At 46.2% G+C, this 11,350-nt stretch overlaps 1 pseudogene, besides 1 other annotated feature; it reads left to right on the forward strand.

Annotated features, from left to right (window-relative positions):
- LOC644909 (ligand of numb-protein X 1, E3 ubiquitin protein ligase pseudogene) lies at positions 232 to 1,284 on the forward strand (annotated as a pseudogene).
- Positions 2,257 to 2,457: a silencer, noted in NCBI's record as "peak2757 fragment used in MPRA reporter construct". NCBI's record gives its function as "represses an SCP1 promoter by STARR-seq MPRAs in K562 erythroleukemia cells {active_cell/tissue: K562}" and the evidence as "EXISTENCE:reporter gene assay evidence [ECO:0000049][PMID:32103011]".

Genomic DNA, 11,350 nt, shown 5'->3' on the forward strand with positions numbered 1-11,350 from the left:
GCCTTCCTCTGTGCCCACCTGGTGACCTCAGAGGGGCTGGTGGGCCACCTCGCTGGGCATGCCAGTCCTCCCTCTGTGGCTCAGCCAGTCCCTGGCCACATGATGTCCATTCTTTCTCTCTAATCTCACAAATATTTCCTCTGCTCTCTACCCCTGCAGCCACTCTGACTTCCCCTGTTGAAAATTATCACTCCTCTCTCTGTGTCCCCTCAATGCCATACATCGTCAGGAACTTCTACTCATCACAAAAGGACCTCCCATGATGGCCTGAAAAAAGACAGGAAGAGGGGCTCAGAAGATGGCTGATCAGACAGCTGTGTGAGCCTCACAGCCATGGCACCCTCCCCAGAGGTTTCTGCAGCTGCCACCACCTCCTTAATGACAGACAAGCTTGGCCTAGACAACCTCGCCTGTGTGCCTGGCAGAGGACAGTCAGCCAGCAATCAGCCCAGGGAACTCTGTCTGGCCAGAGCAACCAAACTAGGACACAGCCCTTTGAGCAATCCAGCAACTCGTACAACCACGTAGGAAAGCTGTCCGGCAGCATCGGTCATCACAGAACAATTAGAAGCAAATCTTTCCAAAAATAATCGAGCTTTGAGTGTTCTTCGAAGGATAAAGAGTGGGAGTGTAGTCGCCAACCGAGCTAACCAGGGCAAGGAAAATTCTGAAAACATCACCACCCCTGAAGTCTTTCCAAGGTTGTACCACCTGATCCCAGATGGTGAAATTACCAGCATCAAGATCAATCAAGTGGATCCCAGTGAAAGCCTCTCCATTATGCTGATGGGAGGCAGTGAAACCCCACTGGTCCGTATCATCCAACACATTTATCATGATGGGGCAAATGCCAGAGATGACCAGCTACTACCAGGAGACATCATCCTAAATGTCAATGGGATGGACATTAGCAAAGTCTCTCACAACTACGCTCTGCATCTCCTGCGGCAGCCCTACCAGGTGTTGTGACTGACCATGCTGCACAACCAGAAGTTCTGCAGCAGGAACAGTGGACAGGCCCTGGATGCCTACAGACCCCAGGATGACAGCTGCCATGTGATTTGCAACAAAAGTAGCCCCAAGGAACAGCTTGGAATAAAATTGGTGTGCAAGGTGGATGAGCCTGGGGTGTTTATCTTCAACGTGCTAGATGGTAGTGTGGCTGATTGACATGGTCAGCTGGAGGAGAATGATTGTGTGTTAGCCATCAATGGACATGACCTTCAATATGGCAGCCCAGAAAGCGGTGCTTATCTGATTCAGGTATTGCTGGCCCTCTTCACCACTGTATGGACTTATGCAATGCCAAGAAGGTAGAAAGCTGCACTATGATCCAGTGTCCAGCTCTGAAAAATGCTGCTCCTTGTGTGGTGGCATGTTTGACTCCTACCTCTCTGCTCTTGGAAGTTGCTGGCCTATGTTGCATCCTGATGGTACCAGCAGTTTTTATCAGCCATAACAATGGCAGCAGCGGGCTGTCTGGAGTAGCTGCTGCCATCACGCTGGCTGCAGCAGGGAGGCACAGCTGGGACTGCACACTCCATGGAGCTGGTGGGAACCTGGGACAAGTGGAAGCCCCGCCCCTTCTGAGTTGGTGGGGCAGGAGTTCCCTGGGTGCAGCCACAACTGCCCAAACTGTGGCTGCAGACCTGGGCCTCCCGGGCCATGGAGCAGGCAGGGGCCCAACCCCACCAGGGCAGCTGCAGTCCACCCCAACCACTGCTGTGGACCCAGGCATCCCTGCACTCTTAGGGGCCCAGGAAGGCTCCCCCTGCCCTAGCAGGCTTGGAAGTACCTGGCTTCCCCCTGCTGTTGGCACCCACTTTGATCTTGGAGCAAAGTTGGGGCCAAGCCCAGGCACTGTCAAGGCCTGGCCAGGTATACACACACTCAGTGCAATGCTGACATGCCAGTCCCCTGCTGCCTCAGCTGTCTCCAAACTTTGGACACCAGCAAGCATAAGAGAGAAGCCAATGGGGTACAGATGGTAGCTCAGTGCTGGCCTGCAGGTGCCCCTTGGCACCTACAGCTTGGCCACCATGAATGGCAGCAGGAGGCAAATAGGTTCCTGGGTGGAAGAGGGTGGGTCTCTGGTGAGGCCCTACCTTCAGGCCAGAAAGGGCCTGAAGGCTCGGGGCCAGGCTACCAGTTCCATGGACCAAAGTGGGAACTTGTGGTGCTTTTTCCAGATCCCCCCATGGCTGCCCATGGACCAATTGGCACTCACTTCCTCCCTCTGAGACCCATAAAACCCCCAGACTCAGCCAGAGCTGAGCAGATGTTGGGAAAACCAGCTGCAGAGAGGAGCTACCCATTCCAGGGTCTCCTCTCTGCTGAGAGCTTCAGAGAACGATGGGATGACCTGCCTGCAGAAGGAGCTACCCATTCCAGGGCCTCCTCTGAGCTAGTCTATCACTCAATAAAGCTCCTCTTCACCTTGCTCACTCTCCACTTGTCCACATACCTCATTCCTCCTGGATGTGGGACAAGAACTTGGGACCTGTTGAATGGCAGGTCTGAAAGGTCTATAACACAAACAGAGCTGAAACATGCCCCTTGTTTGTGACATTGCAGGTGAGGAGCAGGAGAGAAGAGCTGTAATCCTTCAGAGATCCCAGACCTGGGAGCTCCCTGAGCCAGGGCTGTGCCTCTCTCTTTGGGATGCTGCAGTTCCTGGAGTCTCCAAGCTTCCAGGCACCACTGTGTCCCCTGGCGGCAGCTATGGAAGCTACTTGCATTGCACCTGATCCAGCTGCAGCCTCACAGAGAGCCTGTACCCATGCTGGCACCTGGAGTTGCCCGCCCTGCTGCAGCAGCCGGCGTGCCTGTGTGCAGTGACCAGACCCCATGCTCATTCACTCACGCACCCCTCACCGCCCCATGCCTGGCTTGCCCTTGCCAGGCATGGGATCCAGGCTAGGAACATGAGCCGGCATAGCCTGCCAGGCCAAGTGGGCAGAATGAGCCCAGAGGGTCCAAGCAAAACTCGGGCAAAAGGTACCACTGACCACAGAGGTTTCTGGCTAGAAAAGCAACACCTCAAGGATCCCATAACATTTTGGAGGGCTTGTCCAGGATCTGCAGAAGGGTGAGTAAAAGCAGATCTACTCTTTTTATTTTATTTTATTTTTATTATACTTTAAGTTTTAGGGTACATGTGCGCAGATCTACTCTTTCTGTCCTTTTTTCAAAGTCTCTAAACTCCACAATAGTCAAAATGAAAGAAAAATACCAGGCCTCTATCAGCCAGTTAAGAGCAACTAGTGTGGCTGCCAGACTTAGGACACGGAGGACAGGCTTGCTGGGGAGGACACTGGCAACCCTCCATTACCCTCAGATGTTGGGAATGTTGGCTTTGTTCCAAACCAGTTTTCTTTCACAGAGGTCTAGCCATTGTGTGGGACCAGAAGGAGGTCCTGAGGCAACTGAGGGTATCTGGCCAAGGCTACCCTTTGGCCTAATTCAAAGGCCCGTGGACTAACTCCAGTCCCTGACCACCTGTTACAGTGTCAGCACTAGGACCTCCGGTCTTTCCTAACATTCTTTCTTTCTTTCAGGATATCAAGGTTCCTATTTCTTCTTTATGTACCATGTTAAATGTTAAGGATGTTGCCAGGCACAGTGGCTTATGTCTGTGCCAGCACTTTGGGAGGCTGAGGTGGGTGGATCACCTGAGGTCAGGAGTTCGAGACCAGCCTGGCCAACATGGCAAAACCCTGTGTCTACTACAAATACAAAAAAATTAGCCCAGCGTGGTGGTGCCTGTAATCCCAGCTACTCAGGAGGCTGAGGCAGGAGAATCGCTTGAACCCGGGAGGCAAAGGTTGCAGTGAGCTGAGACTGTGGCACTGCACTCCAGCCCAGGTGACAGAGCAGGACTCTGTCTCAAAAAAAAAAAATAAATGTTAAGGATGTTGTTGCAAACCAGAGCTAGTACTGGATTGAATGAGCATTTGGCTTAGTCATCAGAAGTCTAAAATGGAAGGTTAAGAGTAGCACAGAAGCCAAGTGTGCCTTGGTATCTGTACATAAATTTGTGGCAAAAATGTTCTTGTCATTTCCTTGGGTGATAACTTAGTGCCAAGCACCTTGAGGCACAGAAAAGAAGCACGGCCTCAGGAAGGAAGCCTTTCTGTAAACGCGGGGGCAAATGGTCCATGGTCCCATATGTGCAGGCCTTCTTTGCCTTGCAGGGTAGCCTGGACCTTTGCTGATGTAGGATTGATTCAGCCCTCCTACTGGCCATCTCAGGAGAGGCTGCAAGGGGCAATACCAGGGAAGCAAACCCCAGAAGTACCTCCAGCAGGAGAATCAACCCCCTCTGCTCCTCCCTATCCAGGTTATCTCTCAAGCTTGCCCCAGCCTAGGAATCCTCGTTTTAGGCAGGTCCCAGTCTCAACTGCCCCTACAACAGATGCCTGGTGAATATGGCCCCATTGAGGTCCAGGTCCCCTTTTCTCTACTAGACTTAAGGCAAATTAAGGCAGATCTTGGCAAGTTTTCAGGCAGCCCTGACAGGGATATAGAGGCTTTCCAGAACTTAATCAAAATATTTGAGCTCTCCTGGAAGGATGTCATGTTACTTTTGAATCAATCCCTGACCACCACTGGAAAGCAGGCCACCCTGCAAGTAGTAGAGAATTTGGGGGATGAGCTTTGTATCTTATATAGGGCCAAGGAAGGGAATGAGACTTATATGATTGGAAAAATAGCAGCACCACTGGAGGACCCTAAATGGGACCCTAAGGATGAAATGGGAGAATGGAGGGGGAAACACATTCAGGTGTACATACTGGAGGGCTTGTGAAGAACTAGGACTAAGCCTCTCAATTCCTCCAAGATCGCCATGATAGATCAGGGATTAGATGAGAATCCCACTGCCTTCCGGAAAGGCTAAGAGGGGCTTTGGTAAAGCACACCTCTCTAGCTCCTGATTCAGTCGAGGGACAGCTAATCCTAAAGGACAAGTTTATCACAAAGGTGGCCTCCGGATATCAGGAAGAAGCTACAGAAACAGGCTATAGGACGAGATAGTACTTTAGAGAACCTCCTAAAAGTGGCCACCTCAGTCTTTTACAATAGGGACCAGAAGGAAGTCCAAAAAAGAGAAAGGCAATACAAGAAAAAAGCAGAGCCTCTAAAAGCCACCTTGCAGGCTCACAAACCTCAGAGTCCCCAAGATGCATGACCGTGAGGGGCGTCTCAGGTCTTTCCTCCACCATGTCAAGAGTCATGGTAAAAATCACTGTATTATCTGCCCCTCCATGAGTTCAAAAGCTAGAAGTATTGAAGTATTGGCCATTTGGCGTGGCTAAGGTCAGGTAATAAGAGATTTAAAAGGACTTCTTAAAGAGGAGCCCTATGGTTAAAAGTCAACTTTTGGGAGGCCAAGGTGGGCGGATCATGAGGTCAAGAGATTGAGACCATCCTGGCCAACATGCTGAAACCCAGTCTCTACTAAAAGTACAAAAATTAGCCAGGGATGGTGGCACACACCTGTAGTCCCAGCTACTCAGGAGGCTGAGGCAGGAGAATCGCTTGAACCCAGAAGGCAGAGGTTGCAGTGAGCCGAGATCGCACCACGGTACTCCAGCCTGGATGACAGAGCAAGACTCTGTCTCAAAAAAAAAAAAAAAAAAAAAAGATGGGTATCCAAGCTGCAAGCTATAGGTCAGGTTAATTAAAGATGGATGTCCATGCTATAAGTATATTTAAAAGGCTTTTGTTGTCTTTTCTCTTCATGGATCTTGTTTTTCTGGAAAAAGGTTTTTTTCTTCTCAGTCGACTGAATTATTTTTCTTCATTTTTGTCTTGCCACTCTTAATGCACACATGAGAGGCCCCATGAGAACTTCTGACGGCTGGGACTCCTTGGGAAAATGGAGGAGGCGCCATGGACCCTGTTTTGGGAAAAACCTATTTTCCTCACAGAACTCCAGGGATTAGAAGCAGATGCATCCCTCTCAAAATTTGTTTTTGTCTTCCACCTAGGCCTACCTATTAGGGCTTAGAAACTGCACGTTTTCCTAGCCCTGGTTCTTGAAGGACTCCACCCCAAGGCCAGTAATCCAACTAGGAGATTGGCAAATCCAATTAGGAGATTGGCAAGTGAAAAATTTTACAACTACTGGATCTTCTTCTGTCTGTTTGTGTAGTTATATATGTGTCAGGTGTGACACATTAAAAAAAAGCTCTAATTGATTGGCTTAAAGAAAAATAAATGCCTAAGTCAAATATTTTGAAAGAAAGATAAAGCTGTAATGCCTTTTAGTTCACGTGACTTTCATCTTTGAAAAATAAAATATCTTCAACATGTAGACATACGGTCCAAATTATGCAGGTCAGATATTAGGTTTGCTAAATGCTTTAAAGGTTATAAACTGCTTCTTTCATTTTTGAAAATTGTTTAACTTTCCTGCTTTACAGTTTTGTAGGGCCTAGGGACATAGAGAGTTAACTACATCCATACTGGAAAGAGTCAGACCTTGTCTGCAACTAACACATAATTAAAATAACTTACCAGGTTTTACACCAAAATTAAAAATTGCCAAGAGTTACCATTATAACATGTAATTTGAGACTACTTAAAAGGAGATTTACATGTAAAATGTGTAAGGAAAGTAAAATGTGTCTTTAGTAAAAGAATATAAGAAGGCACGGAATGTAAATTTTTGCCTAGTTCAGAGGGTTAAAGGATTGTTTTAAATTAGATAAGATAAAGCTAAAGGTTTAAACAAGTTATGGGAGGTTTTTAAAGATTAATCTTGAAAAAGAAATGCTGTGTGTGAACATATCGACTAAATTCACAAGGGCATTATTTGGTTTTTCTGTAAATTGAACATTGGAATAAAAGCACAAGAGTTTCTCAGAGCACTGACCTCCTCTTTAACAAAGATTTGTAAAGGGTTATAAAAGGATTAGGAGAATCTCAGCTCATGGTCAAACTGATTAAGATTTTCAGGTAATGTTAAAGGATGATGAAAGATTTTTGTTTGCCTTGCAAATAAACTACCGAAAGAAAAAGGGAAAAACAAGAGACAGATTGTTTAGAAAGCTAAGTCTTCTCTCTTAATGTGTAAAGGTTTTTACCTTCTTTTTTTGAGTCAGCATTTTGGCTAAATAAGTGACTTATGGTAACCTGGAATTCTATTTCATAATGTCAAGTGTTTTAAACCTTTAACACATTTGATAGGCTCCCCAAAATCAAATTTCAGCTTCAAAATTGTCTTTTCTGACCCCTGGAGCATTCAAAGCAGAGGTAAACAGGATTATCTGACATGTTTAGTCACATGGAATTGTCAAAATAAAGTGGTGTTTGATCTTCTTCAGGTTACATTTTAGTGAATAATGTTAATATGTGTTTCAAAATGTATGGGATTTCTAAAATTCTGATGTCTGAGTATGTGTTTTCAATCATAATTAGGGTTATTGTGTTAGGTTATTGTTGACCACAGAGGTGATCAAATTTCTTTGCCAATCATGTTTTTGACTGTGACTACCTTAGGACACTGATATTCACAGGCAATTGCTGTCTTGTTTTAATCCTCTTCAAAAAATGGATTATAGTCCTCGAGTGCAGGTTTCTGATAACTTCGGAGATTGTGAACAAGAGTTGACTGGGTGGACTGAACTTATGGAAGACTGAAGTAATCTTTTTTGACTTTTTGCTTGGAACATTGCTGATCCTTTATTTTGTTTTTCAGAATCAAGGAAGCTTTTCTTTTGAGTTATTTGTCACCTTTGACAATTATGGGGACAACCAGTGATTTCTGACTGCAGAGAGTGGGCAGAATGAGCCCAGTGGGTTTGAGCAAAACTCGGGCAAAAATGGTACCAGCCACAGATGTTTCTGGCCAGAAAAGTGACATCCCAAGTATCTCATAACAGTAGTGGATTTTGGAAAGAAAAGAGCCAATTACAGGCTGAACACAAAGCAAGATGCTTGCTCTGCAAGAAGTCACAGTGCAACGCTCCTGGTCTCCTCCTTCCAGCTATAAGAGATAGCCTTTGTTATTTAAAAATGGGTAAATATAAGGTATAAGGAAGGGATCCAGTTTCAGCTTCCTGCATATGGCTAGTCAGTTTTCCCAGTGCCATTTATTAAATAGGGAATCCTTTCCCCATTTCTTGTTTTTGTCAGGTTTGTCAAAGATCAGATGGTTGTAGATGTGTGGTATTATTTCTGAGGGCTCTGTTCTATTCCATTGGTCTATATCTCTGTTTTGGTACCAGTACCATGCTGTTTTGGTTACTGTAGCCTTGTAGTATAGTTTGAAGTCAGGTAGTGTGATGCCTCCAAACTACAATGAGATACCATCTCACACCAGTTAGAATGGTGATCATTAAAAAGTCAGGAAACAACAGGTGCTGGAGAGGATGTGGAGAAATAGGAACACTTTTACACTGTTGGTGGGACTGTAAACTAGTTCAACCATTGTGGAAGACAGTGTGGCGATTCCTCAAGGATCTAGAACTAGAAATACTATTTGACCCAGCCATCCCATTACGAGGTATATACCCAAAGGATTATAAATTATGCTGCTATAAAGACACATGCACCTGTATGTTTATTGCGGCATTATTCACAATAGCAAAGACTTGGAACCAACCCAAATGTCCATCAACGATAGACTGGATTAAGAAAATGTGGCACATATACACCATGGAATACTATGCAGCCATAAAAAAGGATGAGTTCATGTCCTTTGTAGGGACATGGATGAAGCTGGAAACCATCATTCTCAGCAAACTATCGCAAGGACAAAAAACCAAACACTGCATGTTCCCACTCATAGGTGGGAATTGAACAACAAGAACACTTGGACACAGGAAGGGGAACATCACACACCATGGCCTGTTGTGGGGTGGGGGGAGGGGGGAGGGATAGCATTAGGAGATATACCTAATGTAAACGACAAGTTAATGGGTGCAGCACACCAACGTGGCACATGTATACATATGTAACAAACCTGCACATTGTGCACATGTACCCTAGAACTTAAAGTATAAAAAAAAAAGGGTAAATATAAATGAGGCTGCTGGACTGTGTTGTTTCCCTTCTTTGGTCTCTGCTTAGTTCCATCATATAGATATGATTGGCAGTTTTGAGTCAAATCTCAAAAGAACAAAGAAAAGTAGTCATTAAACAAAATAACAGGGAAAAAAAGTGGCCCCTGCAGCCACTTCCTCAGGCCAGGAAGGGTGGCCCTTGCCCCCGAGTCCTGAGGATGAGGTGGAATCTGAGTTCTCCACGTGGTAGTGACAAGGGACCTTCTCAAATCCAAATATGCTCACACTCTTTTGCCAAAACCGTGAGGCCAGCCACGAGGGAAACCACAGATGGATCTCAGCACCATAAAGAGAGGTGCCAGACATCATGCACTCAGGGTGGAACCAGGAGGGGGTGCCTGGTGCCAGGTGCTCAGCGCTGTCCATGAAGTTGTCTTGCAAAAGAAGAAAGACAAAGCTGGGAACCTGGGGCTATGCCTCTGGATCTCCCAGTTTATGGAGAGCGTGTGGGACAAAAGAACACACAAAACACAGGGGACCAAAACCAAATTACCTGGCTTCTTCCTGGAGGAAAGAACGAAAGGACAAAGAGGGCGGGGAAACTGCAGACCCAAAGAGGCTTCAGGGCCAAGTCCACCAACCCCAAGGCGTGGGCCTGTTTGGGTCCTGAACTGGCCTGAACTGAACAAACCAACCAAGAAACACTCACTTAGGAGGCAATCGTGGAAATGCAAATACTGACTAGATACTTCACAATATTAATAAATTACTGGAATTTTTTCAGATGTGGTTATGGTTTTGAGCTTATGTCTGAAAAAGAGCTGTTTCAGAGGTACATGCAGAAAAATTTATAGATGAAATTATGTGGTGTCTGGAATTTACTTTAAAAAATTTCAGTTTTTTGTGGGGGGAGGGGAAGTGGAATAAATGAAGTAATATTGACCATTTGCAGATAATTGTTGAAGTTCGATGATGGGCATGTGGAGATTCATTATCGTATTATTTTTACTTCTGTGCATGTTTGCAATTTTCCTCAATAAGAAGTAAAACAAATAAATAAATAAAAGAGCATCCTGGTTCCCCAGCACTCTCTGTATAAAGGCCACGCTTGTAATGTGGGTGCGCCACTTTCTCCCTGCAGCTGTGCCAGCTCCCTCCATGCACCCCCGCTTCCTACTCTCCAGGTTTGATGAGAGCTTCTGGGCAGCTCCCTTCACTGCCTTGTGCTTTCTCCCTTTAACCTTTATTTATTATCTTTCCAAAAGGCAAGCATTCATATGGTTCAGAACGCAGCACTGCACAGTAACTACTCTCCCTTCCTCCTCGTCCCCAACACGTAGTGTCTTAGTTTCTTGTTTCTCCTTCTAGAGATTTAATGCATATGCGGGCGAACAGAAATAGACCCTCATTCTCTGTCTCCCCCTCCCTTTTTACACAAAAAGTAGCCTGATGACACCCTACTCTGCGCCTCACTTTCTCACTATATTCTGGAAAGCTTTCCGGATTTGTCCACTGTGAGCATCTTCTTATGCAGAGAAGATGAAACCTCTTATGTAGAGATCTCCTAAGAGAGGTCTCTGTGAGACCTTGATATGGTTTGGCTGTGTCCCCACCCAAAATCTCATCTTGAATTGTAATCCCCACGTGTCAAGGGTGGGACCAGGTGGAGGTAATCAGATCATGGGTGCAGTCTTCCCCATGCTGTTCTTGTGACAGTGAGTGAGTCTCACGAGGTCTGATGGTTTTTATAAGCATCTGGCATTTCCCCTACTGGCACTCATTCTCTCACCTACTGCCCTGTGAAGAGGTGCCTTCTGCCATTATTGTAAGTTTCCTGAGGCCTCCCCAGCCATGTGGAACTGTGAGTCAATTAAACCTCCTTTCTTTGTAAATTACCCAGTCTCGGGTATTTCTTCAGAGCAGTGTGAGAACAGACTGATACAGACCTCTTATGCAGTTGCACAACATTCCGTTGCGTGGCTGCACTGCATTGCATTTACCCCCTCTCCTGTTGATGGGCAGTTAGGTCATGGCCAGTCTTTCCTCTTTCCAACAGTGCTGTAAGGAACAACCACATGCTCACATCGTTTCTGGTGCTTTCTCTTTAACTTCCCCCACCTGCTGCCCCTCCCCCACCAGCTTTTGCCCCTCCAATTCCTGTTTACCCTTCAGCTCTTGAATTAGGTATCACTTTATCTGGGACACATTCTCAGATTGGAGACAGAGAGGTGGATGTTAAGAACAAAGGCTCTAGGCTGGGCGCAGTGGCTCACACCTATAATTTCAGCACTTTGGGAGGCCAAGGTGGGCAGATTGCTTGAGCCCAGGAGTTTGAGACCAAC

This window comes from Homo sapiens, chromosome 17 (genome assembly GCF_000001405.40).
Source record: "Homo sapiens chromosome 17, GRCh38.p14 Primary Assembly".
In the NCBI taxonomy this organism is placed as follows: Eukaryota; Metazoa; Chordata; class Mammalia; order Primates; family Hominidae; genus Homo; species Homo sapiens.